The 23,512-nt window shown below is 47.9% G+C and overlaps 2 pseudogenes, besides 1 other annotated feature; one reads left to right on the plus strand and one right to left on the minus strand.

Moving 5' to 3' along the window:
• Nucleotides 3,199-3,305, minus strand: RNU6-304P (RNA, U6 small nuclear 304, pseudogene; annotated as a pseudogene).
• Nucleotides 3,256-3,975: an enhancer, noted in NCBI's record as "NANOG-H3K4me1 hESC enhancer chr1:8943543-8944262 (GRCh37/hg19 assembly coordinates)". NCBI's record gives its function as "activates a minimal SCP1, AML or CMV promoter by ChIP-STARR-seq in primed H9 embryonic stem cells {active_cell/tissue: H9 hESC(primed)}" and the evidence as "EXISTENCE:reporter gene assay evidence [ECO:0000049][PMID:30033119]".
• Nucleotides 13,183-14,375, plus strand: HMGN2P17 (high mobility group nucleosomal binding domain 2 pseudogene 17; annotated as a pseudogene).

Consider the following 23,512-nt stretch of genomic DNA (forward strand, 5'->3'; position numbering starts at 1 on the left):
GTAAGGACTCTAAGAAATCAGGCACTTGGTACTCTCAGAGCAATTCTAAGGCGTGGCCCTGAAAGGGCTCCAAACAATCTTATTTTACATAAAAATGGTTAGAGAGATAAAGATACTCTGCTGTGGCCAGAACCAGTAAATCTAGCAGGAAATCAGAGGCCGAACATGATCCCGGACTGCTGCCGTTGCAAGATTCTTGGAGGCTGCAGCGCCACATTCTGAGCCAGCACTTCGACCTCACATTGTAGCTAAAATGTTAATGATTACTAGAGATGTCCTGAAATCTTTTTCAAAATTCACAGGCTGCCAAATGCCCTCCCTGTTTCCATAGCTCCTTAGGCTTTGTTAGCAGGCTGTGGGGTTCACATTTGCTTGTAGTCAGCACAACGGCATTGCATTTAGTTATTATTTCTCACTTGCTGTAAGCTTGTTGAGAAGTTTTATTGGTGGTGGGCAGGTGGGGAATAACTGTCCAAAGCTATCAGAATACCACACCTTGAAGCACTGTAGGTAACACATGCATGGTGTCTGCAGGTGGCCGGGATCAAGGGAGAGTGAATCTGCTACGACCTGTAACTCGCTTGGATTACTGATTCTCCCTGTGATACGTGTGTAAAAATCACTGGTCAGCTTGAGAAAGGGATCTTTGTGAAAGAGGGTCTCCAGCCAGATAGGGAACTTCAGGGTTGGATAAGGAGCTCTGGGGAGGTAAGATACCAGATGAGTGCAGAAGGGGATGTAGCTGGATGGTCCCTCCTCATAACAGATCATGAGGTTTTGGTATTCATCACTCAGTATTTCACGTACACCAGAGACTACATAAAGCGTATATAAATCTCTGTGTACCCACATCCCGCTTAAGAAATGGAACACCATGCTGGGCGCGGTGGCTCACGCCTGTCATCCCAGCACTTTGGGAGGCCGAGGCGGGCGGATGACGAGGTCAGGAGTTCCAAGACTAGCCTGACCAACATGGTGAAACCCCGTCTCTACTAAAAATATAAAAATCAGCTGGGCTTGGTGGCAGGCGCCTGTAGTCCCAGTTACTCAGGAGGCTGAGGCAGGAGAACCACTTGAACCCGGGAGGCGGAGCTTGCAGTGAGCCGAGATCACGCCACTGCACTCCAGCCTGGATGACAGAGCGAGACACCGTCTCCAAAAAAAAAAAAAAAAAAAAAGAAAGAAAGAAAGAAATGGAACCCTAGAGTCCAGGCTTAGTGGCTCACATCAGTACTCCCAGCACTTAGGGAGGCTGAGGCAGGAGGATTGCTTGAGCCCAGGAGTTCCAGAACAGCAGAACAGCCTGGGCAACATGGAGGAGACCCCAGTCTCTGTAAAAACTAAAAAATTAGGCAGATGTGGCACATGCCTGTAGTCCTATCCCAGCTGCTTGGGAGACTCGGGTGGGAGTGTCACTTGAGCCCAGGAGGTTAAGATTACAATGAGCTATGATTGTACCAGTGCACTCCAGCCTGGGAGATAAAGACCTGTCTCAAAGGAAGAAATGGGGCCGGACATGGTGGCTCACCCCTATAATCCCATCACTTTGGGAGGCTGAGGGGGGTGGATCACCTGAGGTCAGGAGTTTGAGACCAGCCTGGCCAACATGGTGAAACCCCATCTCGACTAAAAATACAAAAAATTAGCCAGGTGTGGTGGCACATGCCTGTAATCCCAGCTACTCAGGAGGCTAAGGCAAGAGAATTGCTTGAACCCAAGAGGCAGAGGTTGCAGTGAGCCAAGATCATGCCATTGCACTCCAGCCTGGGCAACAAGAGTTAAAAAAAGAAAAGAAATGGAAAGTTAAAAAAAAAAAAGAAAAAAGAAATGGAGGCCGGGTGCGGTGGCTCATGCCTGTAATCCCAGCACTTTGGGAGGTTAAGGCGGGTGGATGACCTGAGGTCAGGAGTTCAAGACCAGCCTGGCCAACATGGTGAAACCCCATCTCTACCAAAAATACAAAGATTAGCCGGGTGTGGTGGTACATGCCTGTACTCCCAGCTGCTCGGGAGGCTGAGGCAGGAGAATCATTTGAACCCGGGAGGCGGAGGTTGCAATGAGCCAAGAGTGTGCCATTACACTCCAGCCGGGCGACAGAGCAAGATTCCTTCTCAAAAAAATAAAAAAAAGAAATGGAACATTAGTAATGTCATTTAGGTCCCCTGTATGTTCTTTGACCCCAGAGGTAGCCACTATTCTAAATTTTGTGTTTTATTATTCCCTTGCTTTTTTTTTTTTTTTTTTTTTTTTTTGAGACGGAGTCTCACTCTGTCGCACAGGCTGGAGTGCAGTGGCTGATCTCAGCTCACTTTAAGTTCCGCCTCTCCGGTTCACACCATTCTCTTGCCTCAGCCTCCCGAGTAGCTGGGACTAGAGGTGCCCGCCACCACACCCAGCTAATTTTTTGTATTTTTGGTAGAGATGGGGTTTCACCATGTTAGCCAGAATGGTCTCGATCTCCTGACCTCGTGATCCACCTGCTTCAGCCTCCCAAAGTGCTGGGATTACAAGTGTGAGCCACCGCACCTGGTCTATTCCCTTGCTTTTTAAAATGATTTTTTTTTTTTTATTTTTAGAAGGAGTCTCATTTTTTTTTGCCCAGGCTGGAGTGCACTGATGCGATCTCGACTCACTGCAACCTCTGCCTCCTGGATTCAAGCGATCCTCCTGCCTCAGCCTCCTGAGTAGCTGGGATTACAGGCACCCACTACCACGCCCAGCCAATTTTTTTTGTATTTTTAGTAGAGGCAGGGTTTTACCATGTTGGCCAGGCTGGTCTCAAACTCCTGACCTCGTGATCCACCTGCCTCGGCCTCCCAAAGTGATGAGATTACAGGCATGAGCCACCTCGCCCAGCCTATTTTATATTATTTTATTTTATTTTTGATACAGAGTCTCTCTCTGTCACCCAGGCTGGAGTGTAGGGGCACAGTCTTGGCTCACTGCAACCTTTGCCTCCCGGGTTCAAGCGATTCTCCTGCCTCAGCCTCCGGATTAGCTGGGATTACAGCCGCATGCCACCACGCCCGGCTAAGCTTTTGTATTTTTAGTAGAGATGGGGTCTCACCGTATTAGCTATGATGGTCTTGATCTCCTGACCTCTTGATCCTCCCGCCTCAGCCTCCCAAAGTGCTGAGATTATAGGTGTGAGCCACCGTGCCCAGCCGTATTTTATTTTTAAATATATATAAAAAAATTATAAGTACAGAACACTTCACAGATTTGCATGACGTCCTCGCGCGGGGCCCATGCTGATCTTCTCTGTATCATTCCAATTTTTTTTTAGTATATGTGCTGGCAAGTCATGCTAGGTTGGCATTCCTCAGGGTGTCCAAATGAGAGGAGTAAAGGGGAGGTGATTAAGCAAGAAGGCCCAGGGGAGCTGGGGAAGCTGGGAGCAGAGTTCCCCTGGGCAGAGGTCATGAAGGGGCACCCAAGTGACAGCCGAGGGAGAACAACTTCTGGAAAGTCTGTCTCAGCAGGCATCAGAGGAAAGCATCTCTATTTGGCATCAAAGAGCTCAGCATGGCCTCCCTCAGGGCCCCAGCGCCTTTATCTTTGGGATGGATGTGATAATAGTCTCAGGGGGAGGTCGGCAGTCTGGGAATTACTGTTTCAAGCTAGAATGGACACCTAGAAGGCACTAATATCCCTAAATAGTATCTGCAGGAAGTTATCCAGCCAGTTTTCTTTTCACGTGTCTCTGTTCCCTCCCTCTTTTTCACAAAATTCTTAAGGTTGTTGCCGAGGTTCTTTTTTTTTTTTTTTGAGATGGAGTTTCACTCTTGTTGCCCAGGCTGGAGTGCAGTGGCGCCATCTCGGTTCACCGCAGCCTCCACCCACCAGGTTCAAGCGATTCTCCTGCCTCACCCTCCCTCGTAGCTGGGATTACAGGCATGTGCCACCACGCCCAGCTAATTTTGTATTTTTAGTAGAGACAGGGTTTCTCCATGTTGGTCAGGCTGGTCTTGAACTCCTGACCTCAGGCGATCCGCCCTCCTTGGCCTTCCAAAGTGCTGGGATTACAGGCATGAGCCATCGCGCCCGGCCGCTGAGTTTCTTAAGGTTGTCACAGCATCACTTGGAGGCAGGAGTGCCGGCCCCTGGGAAGGCCCTTGTCTTGAGAGGAGGAGAGGTCAGGTAACAATTGCTGAGTTCCAGATGGAAAATGAGGAGCCACGTTCTTCAGAAGGTAGTGATCTGGCGTGATTCAGGCGTGGGGAGCAGGGTTTCACCACGCCTTCAGGCACACCACAAGATAATGAGAAAATTCTCCCTGCATCTATCGCAGACCAATAAAGTTGCTGGGCCGGGCACAGTGGCTCATGCCTGTAATCCCAGCACTTTGGGAGGGCGAGGCAGGCAGATCACCTGAGGTCAGTAGTTTGAGACCAGCCTGGCCAACATGGCAAAACCCCATCTCTACAAAAATACAAAAATTAGCTGGGCGTGGTGGCACATGTGTGTAATCTCAGCTGCTCGGGAGGCTGAGGCAGGAAAATTGCTTGAGTCCAGGAGGCAGAGGTTGCAGTGAGCTGAGATTGTGCCACACTGCACTCCAGCCTGGGCGACACAGTGAGACTCTGTGTCAAAATAAATAAATAAAAAAAATAATGTTGCTGAGGCCTCGTTACTTGCCAGACACCAGGATGCTTGTATATGTAACTCATTTAATCTTGTAAGCACGTCCATGAGCACACTCCATCTGATCGTCTCCACTTTCCAAGGGGCAGGGAGGCAGCAGCTGCTGGCTGAGGTGCCAGAGGACCAACTAACGCAGCCTGGTCCCCAGTCCTCGCCCCCAACCTCAGCATTGTGCTCCTCCAAGATGAAGATTGTTCATTCCCCTAGTCCTCGGATTCCAGTAAAATGCTACAACACCACCGTTAGTCCAAGGAACCTTGTCTTGATTTGCTTATCTATACCACAACTACCTAGAATTTAGCTGTAGCAGCTTCAGGATTTGCGAAACATCACTCAGGAAGCTTTTGTGTCTGCCGGATTCTGTGTTCTCTCTAGAACAGGTTTGCAGTCAGGAGAGGCAGCTTGCAGTCAGAAATGCCAGTTACACTGTGTCAGCATTGGAGTTCCAATGATAAAATGTCCCCAACCCCATACTCAGGTTGATGTTTTCTGGCATTTCCTAAGCAGAGGGGTAGAAACTTTCTGATTTTCGGCTGGGCCCGGTGGCTCAAGCCTGTAATCCCACACTTTGGGAGGCCGAGGAGGGCAGATCACTTGAGGTTGGGAGTTCGAGACCAGCCTGGCCAACATGGTGAAACGCTGTCTCTACTGAAAATACAAAAATTAGCTGGGTGTGATGGTGGGTGTCTGTAATCCCAGCTACTCGGGAGGCTGAGGCAGGAGAATTGCTTGAACCCAAGAGGTGGAGGGTGCAGTGAGCTGAGATAGCGCCACTGCACTCCAGCCTGGGTGACGAGAGAAACTCTGTTTCAAAAACAAGAGACTTTCTGATTTCACACAAACACGTTACAGTTCCCATGAAGTGAAGTCCTTGGAAGTAAAGTCCCCACACCTCCTGCACTGGAATTCTCTGACTAAATGGGGTTTTTGTTTGCTTGTCTTGTTTCCTGGTGGTCAGGGAAATGCTGAGAAGAGAATGGATTTCAGCACAGCATTTCTCAGAGCCTCTTAGGTAATTCTTGGGGCTAGGAGAGAAATGAAGATTTCTCTTACGCATTTTGAACAGAAAAGCAAGTGGGTAGATTTCTAACTGGCTGAATGAGTCTCCTTAAGGTACTGATATCAAAAGCAAAGGTAGGAGACTGGATGAAACTGACAGGCTGAGCATGGAGGCTCACACCTATAATTCCAGCACTTTGGGAGGCTGAGGCGGGCAGATCACCTGAGATCGGGAGTTCGAGAGCAGCCTTACCACCAACATGGTGAAACCCCATCTCTACGAAAAATATAAAAATTAGCCGGGCGCGGTGGCAGGTGCCTGTAATTCCAGCTACTCAGGAGGCTGAGGCAGGACCACTTGAACCCAGGTGGTGGAGTTTGTAGTGAGCTGAGATCATGCCAGTGCACTCCAGCCTGGGTGACAGAGCGAGACTCTGTCTCAAAACAAACAAACAAAAAAAGGTGGGGCCTTTGGTAGGTGATTGAGCCCTGCCTTCATGAATGGGATTAAGGTTCTCATAAAAGAGGTTGGAGGGAGCTGCCTTTCTCTTCTGCCATGTGAGGGCACAGCATCTATGGAGCAGGGGCAGAAAGCAGGCCTTTACTTGATACCAAATCTGTGGACGCCTTGATCTTGTGTTTCCCAGCCTCCAGACCTGTGAGAAATAAATGTCTACTATTTGTAAATTGCCCAGTCTAAGGAGCTGTGTTTTGGCAGCCGAAGTCATAGTCACAGGCTGCGGATAAACATGAAGTTTTGTGGGAGGACATTATTCAACCTACTAGAGCCTCTGACTCTGCAGGGTCTCTCCACATGGCTTCTCATCATTCAGTAGTCTGTCTAGCCCAGGGATTGACAAGCTATGGCCTAGGGTCCAAATTCTGTTTTTATAAATAAAGTTTTGTGGGAACACAGACACACTCATTTCCTTTCTTTTTTGAGACAGGTCTTGCTCTGTTGGCCAGGCTGGAGTGCAGTGCTGCCAGTCATGGCTCACTGCAGCCTCAACCTCCCAGGCTCAAGTGATCCTCCCATCTCAGCCTCCCAAGTGGCTGGGACCACAGGTGTGTACCACCATGGCCAGCTAAATTTTTTTTTTAACTTTTTTGTAAACACGGAGTCTCCTATGTTGCCCAGGCTCCGTTTCTTTACATATTGTATATGGCAGCTCTCAAGCTGCAATGGCAAAATCCAGTCGTTTCAACAGAGACTGCAAGGCCCACAAGGCTGAAAATACTTACTATCCAGCCCTTTATAGAGAAAGTGTGCTCACCTGTGGTCCAGCCTAGCTTCTCACATGGAAGCTGTAGCCCAAAAACAAATGATCCAAGAGGGCCAGTCCCAGTGTGCAAGTGCAGATGGCCTCTGCTTGCTGCTGTCTCATTGGCCAAAACAGGTCCCATGGTCAAGCCCAGAGTCGGTGGTAGGGGCTACCCACGGGCCTGGATAGTAGGACCCCCCACAACCCAAGACAGTCTACCACGGGGGTGTGGGAGGTGCTGAAACAGGGAGGCTCAATAAGGAGACTTTCTTTCTTTCTTTCTTTTTCTTTTTTTTTTGAGATGAAGTCTTGCTCTGTTGCCCGGGCTGGAGTGCAGTGGCTTGATCTTGGCTCATTGCAACCTCTGGCACCCAGGTTTAAGTGATTCTCCTGCTTCAGCCTCCGAAGTAGCTGGGATTACAGGTGCGTGCCACCAAGCCCAGCTAATTTTTGTATACTTACTAGAGACGGAATTTCAGCATCTTGGCCAGGCTGGTCTTGAACTCCTGACTTCGTGATCCAGCTGCCTCGGCCTCCCAAAGTACTGGGATTACAGGCGTGAGCCACCGCGCCCAGCCTTTCTTTTTTTAAGACAGGGTCTTGCTCTGTCACTGAGGCTGGAGTGCAGTGGCATGATCACAGCTCATTGCAGCTTCAGCCTCCAGGGTTCAAGTGATCCTCCCATCTTAGCCTCCTGAGTAGCTGGGACTACAGGCATGTACCACCACGCCTGGCTAATTATTTATTTTTTTTGGTAGAGAGAAGTCTCACTTTGTTGTCCAAGCTGATCTAGAACTCTTGGGTTCAAGCGATTCACCAGCTTGGCCTCCCAAAGTGCCAGGATTATGGGCATGAGCCACTGCCCAGCCGATGAGGAGACTCTTGCCTTGTCCCAGGGAGAGACCACGGTGGCCCTGTAGGTCTTGTAGGTTGTGGCAGTGGATGTGTGAGAAGTGATTGGATTCCAGATACATTTGCAAGCAAAGCTGATAGTTTTGGCTGGGCACAGTGGCTCATGCCTGTAAATCCCAGCACTTTGGGAAACCAAGGTGTGAGGATTGCTTGAGCCCAGGCATTTGAGACCAGCCTAGGCAACACAGCAAGACCTTGTCTCAACAACAGCAACAAAAATTAGCTAGGAGCGGTGGCGTGTGCCTGTGGTCCCAGCTATTCAAACAGCTGAGGGTGAGTATCCCTTGAGCCCAGGAGTTAGAGGCTGCAATGTGTTATGATCGTGCCACTGCACTACGGCTTGGGTGACAGAGCGAGACCCTGTCTCTTAGAAGACAAAACGAGGCTGGGCGCGGTGGCTCATGCCTGTAATCCCAGCACTTTGGGAGGCCGAGGCAGGTGGATCACGAGGTCAGGAGTTCAAGACCAGCCTGACCAATATGGTGAAACCCCGTCTCTACTAAAAATAAAAACTAGCCAGGTGTGGTGGTGGGCACCTGTAATCCCAGCTACTCGGGAGGCTGAGGCAGGAGAATTGCTTGAACCTGGGAGGCGGAGGTTGCAGTGAGCCGAGATCACGCCATTGCACTCCAGGCTGGGCAACAAGAGTGAAACTCCATCTCAAAAAATAAAAAAATAGGCTGGGCATGGTGGCTCACGCCTGTAATCCCAGCACTTTGGGAGGTCGAGGTGGGCAGATCACAAGGTCAGGAGATCGAGACCATCCTGGCTAACACAGGGAAACCCCGTCTCTACTAAAAACACAAAAAATTAGCCGGGCGTGGTGGCGTGTGCCTGTAGTCCCAGCTACTCGGGAGGCTGAGGCAGGAGAATGGCGTGAACCCGGGAGGCGGAGCTTGTAGTGAGCCGAGTTCGCACCACTGCACTCCAGCCTGGGTGACAGAGCGAGACTGTCTCAAAAAAAAAAAAAATAATAATAATAAAAAGTAAAACAAAACAAACAAATGAATAAAAGGATCACTCAGAGTGTGGTTGCTCACACATGTAATCTCAGCACTTTGGGAAGCTGAGGGAGGATCCTTTGAGTCCAGGAGTTTGAGACCAGCCTAGGCAACATAGTGAGACCCCATCTTGTGTCTACAAGAGTTTAAAATGTTAGCCGGGCATGGTGGCATGCACCTATAGTCCTAGCTGCTCAGAAGCCTGAGGCAGGACAAATACTTGAGCCCAGGAGGTTGAGGCTGCAGTGAGCGGTGATTGCGCCATTGCACTCTGGTCTGGGCAACAGAACGAGAGGCTGCCTCAAAAACATAATAAAAGAAAGAGAATCACGTCCAGTGTGAAGTTCGTACTCTGGGGAAGGGTCCTTGGTTCTAAGTAACAAGGACACATAGGGCCCCTCTTAGGGAAGCAGGATGTGAGGGACACAGGAACACACCTCCCCAAGTCCCCGTAGGAAGAGAGCAGACTTGAGATCTGAACTCCACTTACTGAAGGACTATTATGCAATAAAGGGAATAGACCTAGTCTTTGTGGCTCCAGAGATGAGGACGACTACAGAGAGCATTCCCAGGGAGGCCGAGGGCATCTCAGTTTCAGAGAAGAAACCATTTCCAAGATGACATGGTGTTTCCATGTCATCTTGGTTCAGGAGGGGCTGTTCTGGAGAGGCTGGGGGCCCTCTGTAGGAGGGTCTGGAGAATTCCAACATCTGAAGGCTGCAGTTCGGGGCTTTACCGTAAACACACACACACACACACACAATATACACACACTATATATATGCATATATGTATGCATATATGTATAATATATATTTAAAGCAAACTAAACTTACTTTCCATTCGTTTAAGATCTTTAGAATATCTCTGAGATTATTTGTGAAACCTCAAGATTAAAAAAATAACAACGACAAGAAACAAGGCTAAGAATCAACATCCCAGGCTCCTGCCTCTTATTCTATTAACCACAGAAATTAAGTTCCGCAAAGACAAAGATGCTTCTGTTACTTCCCAATTAGTCTGCCCTGTTTGGACACAGTCCCAGACCTCATACCCCGGAGCCTACGCACGGACTCCTGGCAAGAGAGGCGCCATCCCAGGCCCAGTGCCAGGGCTCCTCTCTCGGTCCTGTCCTCAGGGTGTCCTTGGGCTCCTTCTGGACAGAGGCTCTTCCCTCTCCTGCCAGGTCCTCAGATCCGAACTCCCTAAGCAGGGGCTTATGTCTTGCCAGTGCTTCTTGTTTTTCTTTTTCTTTTTTTTTTTTTTGAGACGGAGTCTCGCTCTCTCAAAAAAAAAAAAAAAAAAATCAAATGGGAACACTTCAGCTATGACAGGAAATATCTTCTCTATTTACATAGGGCATATGCCGAGTACATGATTTTGTAACTTTATTTCATCCTCTTCATTTACCTAGGGTGTATACCAAGTAACCAATGGAAACCTCTAGAGGGTATTTAAACCCCAGAAAATTCTGTAACAGGGCTTTTGAGCCCTTATGCTCAGCCTGCTCCCACCCTGTGAGTACTTTCTTTCTTTTTTTTTTTTTTGAGACTGAGTCTCGCTCTATCGCCCAGGCTGGAATGCAGTGGTGCGATCTCAGCTCACTGCAGTCTCCGCCTCCCAGGTTCATGCCATTCTCCTGCCTCAGCCTTCCGAGCAGCTGGGATTATAGGTGCCCGCCACCACGCCTGGCAAATTTTTTGTATTTTTAGTAGAGATGGGGTTTCACCATGTTAGCCAGGATGGTCTCGATCTCCTGACCCCAAGTGATCTGCCCGCCTCGGCCTCCCAAAGTGCTGGGATTACAGATGTGAGCCACCATGCTCTGCCTTCTACAAAAATTTTTAAAAATTAGTGGGACATGGTGGCATGCACCCATAGTCCCAGCTACTCTGGAGGCTGAGAGAGGAGGCTCATTGGAGCTGGGGAGGCCAAGGCTGCAACAGTAAGCTATGATGGTGCCACTGCACTCCAGCCTGGGTGACAGAGTGAGACCCTGCCTTAAACAAACAAACAAATTGCACCTACTTTTTTTTTTTTTTTTGAGAAGGAGTTTCGCTCTTGTTGCCCCAGGCTGGATGCAATGGTGTGATCTCAGCTCACTGCAACCTCCACCTCCCAGGTTCAAGCAATTCTCCTGCCTCAGCCTCCTGAGTAGCTGGGATTACAGGCATGCGCCACCACGCCCGGCTAATTTTGTATTTTTAGTAGAGATGGGGTTCCTCCATGTTGGTCAGGCTGGTCTCGAACTCCCGACCTCAGGTGATCCACCCACCTCGGCCTCCCAAAGTGCTGGGATTACAGGCGTGAGCCACTGTGCCTGGCCCTGCACCTACATTTTAACAGAATTCAGGCCCCTCCCATAATCCTAATCTTGTGGACTTTCATTAGTTTTGCAAAGGTGGTCAAAGGTGGTTTTCTGTCCGTGAGCAAGAAGGGGGTTAGTTTTAGAGAGGGACTATTATCATCTTTGCTTCAAAGTTAAACTATAGACTGAATTCCTCCCGTGGTTAGCTTGGCCTATGCCCAGGGATGAGTGAAGACAGCCAGCCTGTGAGGCTCGAAGCAAGATGGAGTCAGCCAGGCTAGACTTCTCACTCTGTCACAATCTGGGCAAAGGCAGTTTCAAAACCATCATATCTTCCAGCTATTCTCTTTGGGACCCATTTATTTTTACTAAAAGTCATTTGTTTTTCCTTAGGGGTCCTTCCCTTATTAAGCCCCAATTTCTAACTGCCTCCTTGGGTCACATTTTTCTGTGAACTTCTATACCTACATGAATAAAGATCTTTTCTCTTGCTAACTTGTCGTTTGTCAATTTAATTTGTATACTCTAAGTGCTGAACCTAATAAAGGAGAAGTTTTTCCTTGACAGTGTCAACTGGGGTAGCAATACTTCTGGTTTCTGATTTGTGTTGAAATACGATTCAAGCTACACACTCTAAATTTATCTTGTCATTCCTCTGAAGATCAAGGTTGATTTATTTATTCTTCAACAAACATTACTGAGGGCCTATTAAATGCCAGGCCAGGCACTGTTTTAGGAATGGAGAATAGAACAGAGAACAAGGCAAAGTTCTCGCCTTCATGGTGTTTACGCTCTGGTGCAGGAGGCAGATGACAAGCCAGTAAATGCCTAGAGTGGCAGCAGGTGCCGATGCTCTGGAGAATATTGAAACTGTCATTGCAAAATCGTAGCTCAGACGGTGAAAGAGATCTGACCTAACCAACTCCATCTTGCTTGTATCCTCCAAGCTGTTCTTGTTCATTCCTGGGCATAGGCTGTACTGACTTTGGAAGGAACTTAGTTTATAGTTTAAAACAAAGAGGATAACAGCTCTTTCCCAAAACGAAAGAGGTGGGGACTAGACTGCCTTTATAGGACTAACATATTAGCCACAAGTTTAGAAATTAAGGTTTAGGAGTCATGCAGTTGGAGGCTACAAGATTCTGACCGCCCCTAAACTGCTCCTAAGACCCGTGCTTCAGAAACATTGCAGACCCTGCCTTGATGGATCAGCTGGCACCACCCAGATAGATAAACTAGCTCACCTGATCTTGTGGCCCCCACCCAGGAACTGACTGAGCACAAGAAGACAGCTTCAACTCCCTATGGTTTCATCTGCAATCCAACCAGTCAGCACTCCTGGCTCACTGGCTTCCCCCACCCACCAAATTATCCTCAAAAACTTTGATCCCAGCTGGGCATGGTGGCTCACGCCTGTAATCTCAGCACTTTGGGAGGCCAAGGCAGGCATATCACAAGGTCAGGAGTTTGAGACTAGCCTGGCCAATATGATGAAACCCCATCTCTGGTCGGGCGCGGTGGCTCACACCTGTAATCCCAGCACTTTGGGAGGCCGAGGTGGGCGGATCACGAGGTCAGGAGATCGAGACCATCCTGGCTAACACGGTGAAACCCCGTCTCTACTAAAAATACAAAAAATTAGTGGCGGGCGCCTGTAGTGCCAGCTACTCGGGAGGCTGAGGCAGGAGACTGGCGGGAACCTGGGAGGCGGAGCTTGCAGCAAGCCGATATCGCGCCACTGCACTGCAGCCTGGGCGACAGAGCGAGACTCCGTCTCAAAAAAAAAAAAAAAAAAAAAAAGAAAGAAACCCCGTCTCTACTAAAAATACACGGGCGTGGTTGTGCCTGCCTGTAGTCCCAGCTACTCGGGAGGCTGAGGCAGGAGAATCGCTTGAACCCGCGAGACGGAGGTTGCAGTGAGCCAAGATCGCACCACTGCACTCCAGCCTGGGCGACAAAACGAGAGTCCGTATCAGAAAAAAAAAAAAAAAAAAAAAAAGGTCTGATCCCTGAATGCTCGGGGAGACTGATTTGAGTAATAATAAAAGTCTGGGAAGAAGAAGAGGCGAGAACGACCCCGGGACCGACCAAAGCCCGCGCGCCGCCGCATCCCGCGTACAGCACCTACATCCCGCCACCGTCACCGCCACCACCATGCCCAAGAGAAAGGCTGAAGGGGATGCTAAAGGAGGTAAAGCCAAGGTGAAGGACGAACCACAGAGAAGGTCTGCAAGGTTGTCTGCTAAACCTGCTCCTCCAAAGCCAGAGCCCAAGCCTAAAAAGACCCCTGCAAAGAAGGCAGAGAAGGTACCCAAAGGGAAAAAGGGAAAAGCTGATGCTGGTAAGGAGGGGAATAGCCCTGCAGAAAGTGGAGATGCCAAAACAGACCAGGCCCAGAAAGCTGAAGGTGCTGGAGAGGCCAAGTGAAGTGTGTGCATTTTTGATAACTGTGTACTTCCAGTGACTGTACAGTTTGAAAGACCATTTTTTAAATCAAGTTTTATAAAAATGCAGAATTTTGTTTTACTTTTATTTTTCTTTTAAAGCTATGTTGTTAGCACACAGAACACTTCATTGTTTGTTGGGGGAGGGGCATATGTCACTAACAGAATGTCTCCAAAGCTGGATTGATGTGGAGAAAGCACCTTTCCCTTCTAGTCTTGAGAGACTTCCTCTTGGCTCCCAGGAGGAGGGATTCCCTGACTTTGACACACATGGCCACCTTGGCACAAAAGCCTTGTGGTGTGGAAAAACAAATTTGTTTTTATGTCCTCTTCTCCCTTTCCATCTTTCAGCATAGACTTAACTCCTTTAATCCCAGGCATCTGTTGGGACCTGACCCCTAGTCATTGGTTACCAGTGTGTCAGGCAATCTGGACTTTCCAGTGATGCCACTGAGATGGCACCTGTCAAAAGAGCAGTGGTTCCATTTCTAGATTGTGGATCTTCAGATAAATTCTGCCATTTTCATTTCACTTCCTGAAAGTCAGAGTCGGCTTGTGAAAAGTTGTTAAACAACATGCTAAATGTGAAATGTCAACCCTCACTCTAAACTTTCCCTGTTCAGAGCATGAGATGAAGACTTCTTTGGGTTTTATAGCGGCTTTCTGATTTTTCGTAGTCCATTGAAGAAGGGAGTTTGAAAGTTGTTGTATACTGTTAACAATTGTCTGCCCATGTCCTGCCTGAAATACCATGATTGTTTATGGAAAGTATCTTTAATAAAGCTGGATACAGTTTGGCTTGGAAAAAAATAAAAAATAAAACTCCGATCTCCCTCACTACTGGCTCTGAGTCAATTACTCTTTCTCTTCTTTCTTTATTTATTATTTTAATTTTTAATTTTATCATTTTTATCATTTTAACTTTTTATTTTATTTTATTTTGAGATAGTCTTGCTCTGTCACCCAGTCCGGAGTGCAGTGGCATGACCTCGGCTCACTGCAACCTCTACTTCCCGGGTACAAGCAATTCTTCTGCCTCGGCCTCGAGAGTAGCTGGGATCACAGGTATGTTCCACCACACCCGGCTAATTTTTGTATTTTTAGTAGAGACAGGGTTTCACCATGTTGGCCAGACTGGTCTTGAATTCCTGACCCCAAGTGATCCATCCATCTTGGCCTGCCAAAGTGCTGGGATTACAGGTGTGAGCCACTGTGCCCTGCTGAATTACTCTTTCTGTATTGCAATTCCCCTGTCTTGAGAAACTGGCTCTGTCTAGGCAGTGGGCAAGGTGAACCCACTGGACTGTTGCATATTAGTCTGTCTCATGGGGGAAGGGTATACTGGTGGGGCTTGTATGAACACTACATTATGTGATTCATATAAAACAATTTATCAAAATAAAATTCAAATAGTTTAAATCTTAAGACACCTTCCTAGTTATTTTTTCTAAATAGGGAAGAAAAGGAGCAGCTGACTTTTTTACTGCTTTCTTTTATTTTCATTTTATTATTATTATTTGAGACGGAGTTGCACTCTTGTCCTACTCGGGAGGGTGAGGCAGGAGAATCACTTGAACCTGGGAGGCGGAGGTTGCAGTGAGCCGAGATTGCACCACTGCACTCCAGCCTGGGCGACAAGAACAAAACTCCATCTACAAAAGAAAGAAAGTACTCTATGCTTGTTTTAAAAATTCAGACCGGGTGCAGTGGCTCATGCCTGTAATCCCAGACCGAGGTGGGCAGATCACGAAATCAGGCGATCAAGACCATCCTGGCTAACGTGGTGAAACCCCGTCTCAACTAAAAATACAAAAAATTAGCCGGGTGTGGTGGCACCTGCCTGTAGTCCCAGCTACTCAGGAGGCTGAGGTAGGAGAATCGCTTGAACCCGGGAGGCAGAGGTTGCAGTGAGCCGAGATTGCGCCACCGCACTCCAACCTGGGTGACCGAGCGAGAATCTGTCTCAAAAATAAAAAATTAAAACAAAACAGAAACACATTATATTTGTTTCCTCTCCCTCCCTACTTCACTTCTACTATTAACAGTCTGGCCAGGCATGGTGGCTCACACCTGTAATACAGGAGATCTAGTGTTGGTCAAATCTCTCCCCTTTACCTCCCCATGTATGGATTCTTTGTGGGAAGGACCATACTCGGTAATCCTCTCTACCCCCACTGCAGTTAAGGTGGCAGGAATGGAATCTTGGATTCACCACATCCGAGTTAAATTTTGGACACCCTCTGAGGAACCTGAGGGACCATCAGCTCAGGAGTCCCAAGATCATCCAGACCAGCCTCGATACACCTGCGAACCGTTGGAGGACTTGCATGTGCTGTTTTGGAAGGAAACATCCAGACTAAAAGGGCTCCTACCACTGATCCTGAAAAAAACCCCTTCCTCCTTAAAAAAGATAAATGAAAACCTACGTAATCTTTATCTTTAACACTTCTCCTTGCCCCTTTGATGGAATCCTTTTACTATTTCATTATATTACTAAGCAGCATACTAACCATACTCTTCAGGATAGGACTATATACTGTAGCTCCTGCCAGGATGAAAATCTTAATCACATCAACCTTCTTTCTATTATCCTTCCTTCTGACAGCAATTTACTCCTACCTTTAACTCAGCCTGGATAAAATGATCTCGTCTTCCAGAGCACCCTCTTTACCTTCCCATTTACTCTTTGTCTATCTGTCCCCTCTGCTTCCTTGGATACCTCATACAATCACCCCTCCCCTTCCACTAGCTCCTAATTACCTCTATAAGACGCTCAACTTAACCCAGTCTCTGTTAAACCAGTCCAATCCTTCCCTGGCAAATGACTGTTGGCTTTGTATCTCTCTATCCACCTCTGCTTATGTTGCCACTCCCATTCCCTCAAAAAATTGGGTCTTTACCAATTTAACCTACCATCCTTGTTATGAAGGAAAAGACCCTTTCCGACTTCTAAATATGCAATCATTAGCCAACTTCCCCATCTCTGATAGGACCAAGAATACCCTAACAGGATGTGCAATCCAATTTTTACGTTCTTACATTTCCAACCTCACCTATTACACAAGCAATGAAAAGCCCATACATGGTCTTGTTACTATGAATACCATCTTAACTTTCCCCTTTATGCATCCAACGCAACCTGTTATCAGGCCTGCCCCTGGGGCACCTACTACCCCATCAGTGTAATTACACCCTACAACTTCAAGCCCCAACTAATCATAGTAACTTCTGAGTCACTCAAACAGCTCCATTCAGATGGCTTGTCTGCTTCTCAGCGCCTCCAAAAATCATCACCTCCTCCCTGCTTAACAAACAGTCCAGGTTTTGTAATGGCAAACATACTCCTTGCATGACCATTCACCCCTGGACCCCCTGTGGCAGCGCCCCCACCACTAGTGAATGCCTTCTCATCCCCTCTTCCAATCACTCTCTTGAATGGCTCCTAGTAGACACAAAACAATTTTTTCTCCAATGGGAAAATAGAACACAGGGAGCCACTCAGTTTGCTCCCAACACCCCTTTCCAGCCGCTCACTGGAGCTACCTTAGCAAGTACTCTAGGAGTATGGGAAAATGAAAACAACAAACTCACACACCTTTTTAACATACACAACCAGTTCTGTCTACCCAGCCAAGGTATATTCTTATGTGCAATGTCAACCTATATCTGCCTCCCCACTAACTGGAGAGGCACCTGCACCTTAGTCTTTCTAAGTCCCAACATTAACATTGCCCCAGGAAATCAGACCCTATCAGTACCCCTCAAAGCTCAAGTCCCTCAGCACAGAGCCATACAACTAATACCCCTACTTACAGGGTTAGGAATGGCCACTGTTACAGGAACCAGAATAGCCAGTTTATCTACTTCATTATCCTACTACCACACACTCTCAAAGGATTTCTCAGACAGTTTGCAAGAGATAACGAAATCTATCCTTACTCTACAATCCCAAATAGACTCTGTGGCAGCAGTGACTCTCCAAAACTGCCGAGGCCTAGACCGCCTCACTGCTGAGAAAGGAGGACTCTGCACCTTCTTAGGGGAAGAGTGTTGTTTTTACACTAACCAGTCAGGGATAGTATGAGATGCTGCCTGGCGTTTACAGGAAAAGGCTTCTGAAATCAGACAATGCCTTTCAAACTCTTATACCAATCTCTGGAGTTGGGCAACATGGCTTCTCCCCTTTCTAGGTCCCGTGGCAGCCATCTTGCTATTACTCGCCTTTGGGCAAGTAATTTTTAACCTCCTTGTCAAATTTGTTTCCTCTAGGATCGAGGCCATCAAGCTACAGATGGTCTTACAAATGGAACCCCAAATAAGCTCAACTAAAAACTTCTACCGAGGACCTCTGGACCGACCCGCTGGCCCTTTCACTGGCCTAAAGAGTTCCCCTCTGGAGGACACTACAACTGCAGGGCCCCTTCTTCACCCCTATCCAGCAAGAAGTACCTAGAGCAGTCATTGCCCAATTTCCAACAGCAATTGGGGTGTCTTGTTTAGAGGGGGGATTGAGAGGTGAAGCCGGCTGGGCTTCTGGGTTGGATGGGGACTTGGAGAACTTTTCTGTCTAACTAGAGGATTATAAACTCATCAATCAGCACTCTGTCTAGCTAAAGGATTGTAAATGCACCAATCAGCACTCTCTAAAAATGCACCAATCAGCGCTCTGTGTCTAGCTAAAGGATTGTAAATGCACCAATCAGCACTCTTGTCTAGCTAAAGGATTATAAATGCACCAATCAGCACTCTGTAAAAACGCACCAATTAGCACTCTGTGTCTAGTTAAAGGATTGTAAATGCACCAATCAGCACTCTGTAAAATGGACCAATCAGCAGGATGTGGGCGGGGCCAAATAAGGGAATAAAAGCTGGCCACCCAAGCCAGCAGTGGCAACCAGCTTGGGTCCCCTTCCATGCTGTGGAAGCTTTGTTCTTTCGCTCTTCACAATAAATCTTGCTGCTGCTCACTCTGGGTTTGCACTACCTTTATGAGTTGTAACACTCACGGCAAGGGTCTATGGCTTCATTCCTGAGGTCAGCGAGACCACGAACCCACTGGGAGGAACAAACAATTCTGGACGCGCCACGTTTAAGAGCTGTAACACTCACTGCGAAGGTCTGTGGCTTCACTCCTGAAGTCAGCGAGACCACGAACCCACCGGAAGGAAGAAACTCCGGACACATCTGAACATCTGAAGGAATAAACTCTGGACAAACCATCTTTAAGAGCTGTAACAATCACCGCAAGGGTCCACAGCTTCATTCTTGAAGTCAGCGAGACCAGGAACCCACCGGAAAGAATAAATTCCGGACACAACATTTCTTTTTTCTTTGAGACAGGGTCTCAGTGGCACAATCATAGCTCACTGCAGCCTCAACCTCCTGGGCTCAAGAGATCCTCCTGCCTCAGTCTCCTGAGTAGCTGGCACACCGCCATGCCCTGCCAATTTTTTTTGTAGAGACAGGGGTCTCACTGTGCTGCCTACACTGGTCTCGAGCTCCTGGTCTCAAGCAGTCCTCCCTCCTGGTCGTCCCAAAGTGCTGGGATTATAGGTGTGAGCCACCGTGCCTGGCCTCTTTTCTTCTTTTTTCCCTCCACATGTGTCTTATTTTTTTTATTTTTTTATTTTTTGAGACAAAGTCTTGCTCTTCTCCCCCAGGCTGGAATGCAGTGTTGCCATCTTGGCTCACTGCAACCTCTGTCTCCCGGATTCAAGCAATTCTCCTGCTTCGCCCCCTCAAGTAGCTGGGATTACAGGTGCCCACCACCACGCGTGGCTAATTTTTGTATTTTTAGTAGAAGCGGGGTTTCACCATGTTGGCCAGGCTGGTCTAGAACTCCTGACCTCAGGTGATCTACCCGTTTCGGCCTCCTGAAGTACTGGGATTAGAGGCATGAGCCACCGTGCCCGGCCGTCTTTTGCTTTATTTTTGAGACAGAGTCTCACTCTGCTGCCCAGGCTGGAGTGCAGTGGTGCTATCTCGGCTCACTGCAACCTCTGCCTCCCCGGTTCCAGTGATTTTTGTGCCTCAGCCTCCCGAGTAGCTGCTGTGATTACTACAGGTGCCCACCACCACGCCTGGCTAATTTTTGTATTTTTAGTAGAGATGGGGTTTCACCATGTTGCTCAGGTTTGTCTCAAACTCCTGGCCCCAGGTGATCTGCCTGCCTTGGCCTCCCAAAGTGCTGGGATTACAGGCATGAGCCACTGAGCCTGGCCTCTATATAAGCCCTAAGTTCTAACCGCTCCTCTGAGTTACTCATCACTGAATTTCCGTTGCAGGTGATTCATGAGTTTCCAGGAAAGGGGTGGGTGATTTCCAGAATGAGGGTTCCTCCCCTTTTTAGACTATATAGGTAAACTTCTGGGCCAGGCATGGTGGCTCATGCCTGTAATCTCAGCACTTTGGAAGGCCAAGGCTGGCAGATCACTTGAGGTCAGGAGTTCAAGGACAGCCTGGCAAGCATGGAGAAATCCTGTCTCTACTAAAAATACAAAAATTAGCTGGGCGTGATGATGTGCTCCTGTACTCCCAGTTACTCAGGCAGCTGAGGCAGGAGAAGCCGGAGGCAGAGGTTGTGGTGAGCCAAGATTGTGCCACTGCACTCCAGCCTGGGTGACAGAGCAAGACCCTGTCTCAATAAACTAAACTAAACTAAAATAAATAAATAAAGGAATAGACTACATAGGCTAACTTCTGGATGTGGCTGTGGCATTTGTAAACTGTCATGGCGCTGATGAGAGTGTCTTTTAGCATGCTAATGTATTATAATTAATGTATACTGAGTAGGGAGGACTACCAGAGGTCACTTTCATTGCCATCTTGGTTTTGGCTGGTTTGGGCTGAGTTCTTTTTTTTTTTTTGAGACAGAGTCTCACTCTGTCACCCAGGCTGGAGTGCAGTGGCACAGTCTCAGCTCACTGCAATCTCCACCTCCCAGGTTCAAGTAATTCTCCTGCCTCAGCCTCCTGAGTAGCTGGGATACAGGCACGTGCCACCACACCCAGCTAATTTTTGTATATTTAGTAGAGACGGGGTTTCACCATGTTGATCAGGCTGGTCTCGACCTCCTGACCTTGTGGTCTGCCTGCCTTGGCCTCCCAAAGTCCTGGGATTACAGGCATGAGCCACCGCACCTGTCCTGGGCTGACTTCTTGACCACATCCTATTTTATCAGCAGGGTCTTTATGACCTGTATCTCATGATATCAATCCTGCAGACCTCATCTATCTTTTTTTTTTTTTTTTTTTTTTGAGACAAAGTCTCACTTTGTCACCCAGGCTGGAGTGCAATGACACCATCTCAGCTCACTGCAACTTCTGCCTCCCAGGTTCAAGCAATTCTCCTGCCTTAGCCTCCCAAGTAGCTGGGATTACAGGTGTGCACCACCATGCCTGGCTAATTTTTATTTTATTTTATTTTATTTTATTTTATTTTATTTTATTTTATTTTATTTTATTTTATTTTTAAGACAGAGTTTTGCTCTTGTCGCCCGGGCTGAAGTGCAATGGCAGGATCTCAGCTGACTGCAACCTCTGCCTCCCGGGTTCAAGCAATTCTCCTCCCTCAGCCTCCCAAGTAGCTGGGACTACAGGCACTTGTCACCACACTGGCTAATTTTTGTATTTTTAGTAGAGATGGGGTTTTACCATGTTGGCCAGGCTGGTCTCGAACTCCTGACCTCAAATGATTCATCCACCTGGGCCTCCCAAAGCACTGGGATTACAAACATGAGCTACCGCATCTAGCCTCCGAGTAATTTTTATATTTTTAGTAGAGACAGAGTTTCACCATATTGGCCAGGCTGGTGTTGAACTTCTGGCCTCAAAGTGATCCACCCTCATCAGCCTCCCACAGTGTTGGGATTACAGGCGTGAGCCACTCTGACCAGCCAAAGACTTCTACTTTCATGAACTTACTGTAAATCTTACCCTTAAGTGAAAGCCTCAACATTACTGAAACACATACTTACCATAAATCCTGCCCTTATGCAAATTCCCTATGGTATATAAGCCCTGGGTCTTGGGGTATAACATTGTAGGGATCCACCATGTCATCTGGAGGCTGCCTGAGACATGGTTTCTGTTCGTAAGTCCCTATTAAATGTTTCCTTCTGATCACTGTGTTTGTCAGCCTCTTTCTTTGGCCTCTCAGCTCCCTGGGCCTTTGGAGGTAGGTTTGCATAGACCTGCTCACCGCAGAAGAGTGCTTAATATATATATTTTTTTTTTTTGAGACGGGGTCTCACTCTGTTGCCCAGGCTGAAGTGCAGTGGTGCCATCTCAGCTCACGGCAGCCTCCGCCTCCTGAGGTCAAGCAATTCTCCCTCCTCAGCCTCCTAAGTAGCTGGGATTACAGGGGTGCGCCACCACGCCCAGCTAATTTTTGCATTTTTAGTATAGATGGGGTTTCACCATGTTGACCAGGCTGGTATCGAACTCCTGACCTCAGGTAATCCACCCGCCTCGGCCTGCCAAAGTGCTGGGATTACAGGCATGAGCCACTGCACCCGGCCTTAATACATTTTTGTTGAATGGATGAAGTGCTTCTCCATAAGGGATGTTTGGGTTCAATTTTCTGGCTCCCACAAACCCACCTTCTGAGTCTCAGACCCTCTCCTTGTCCATACCTGTCCATGCGGAGATAGGCGGTGTGGTGTTACGATAGATACATACTGGTTTGCATCTGCAGATCCCCGTTCCTAACTCCCACAGTCCTGTGATAATGTTGGGGCACTTGAGGCCTCAGGAAACAGAACCTCTCCTCTGAACTTCTCCTGTTCCTCTTTCACCTGTCCAACCAGGATTCTAATCTGATGTGGGTCCAAAGACCTTCATTCCAGAGAGGGTCCTGCCCCATACCCTAGAGCAAGACTGTTCAGCCCACCGTCCAGGATGGCTTTGAATGCAGCCCAACACAAATTCATAAACTTTCTTAAAACATTATGAGATTGTTTCACAATTTTTTTTTAAAGATCATCAGCTATCATTAGTGCTAGAGTATTTTATATGTAGCCCAAGACAATTCTTCTTGTTCCAATGTGGCCCAGGAAGTCAAAAGATTGGTCAGCCCTGCCCTAGAGGAAGGAATGCTGAGAGAGAGGCCAAGAAAAGTCTGAACAGACAGGCCTTGCCGGGGGTTTAGATCATGAGATTTTTGTCCAATCACATTTCTACACGGTTATCAGTCGTGCCCATGTAATGAAGCCTCCATAAAAAAGCCACGAGGACTGGGTTTGGAGAGGTTCTGGATGGCTGAATACGTGGAGGTTCCTGGAGGGTGGTGAGACCCAGGAGAGCATGGAAGCTCTGCTTCCCCTAAACTCCACCCTATGCATGGCTTCATCTGTATCCCTTGTGAATCCTTTATAATAAACCACTAAACATAAGTAAGTGTTTTCTTGAGTTCTGTGAGCCATTCCAACATATTAATCAAACCCAGGCTGGGCATCGTGCCTCATACCTGTAATTCTAGCACTTTGGCAGGCCAAGGCGGGTGGATTACTTGAGGTCAGGTGTTCGAGACCAGCCTGGCCAACATGGTGAAACCCCGTCTCTACTAAAAATACAAAAATTAGCCGGACATGGTGACTCACACCTGTAATCCCAGCTACTCAGGAGGCTGAGGCAGGAGAATCGCTTGAACCCGGGAGGCGGAGGTTGCAGTGAGCCGAGATCCCGCAACTGCACTCCAGCCTGGGAGACAGAGTGAGACTCCGTCAAAAACAAAAAAACAAAAAGCAAACAAACAAAAAAACAAACCCAAAGAGGGGGTCATGGGAACCCCAAATTGAAGCCAGTGACTCAGAAGTTCCAGAGGCTCAGACTTGTGACTAGCATTGGGGGAGATAGTCTTGCAGACTGAGTTCTCAAGCCCTGGGATGTGATGCCATCTCCAGGTAGATAGTGTTGAAATTGAATTGCAGGACACCCAGCTGGT

Source organism: Homo sapiens, chromosome 1 (genome assembly GCF_000001405.40).
Source record: "Homo sapiens chromosome 1, GRCh38.p14 Primary Assembly".
NCBI classification, from domain to species: domain Eukaryota; kingdom Metazoa; phylum Chordata; class Mammalia; order Primates; family Hominidae; genus Homo; species Homo sapiens.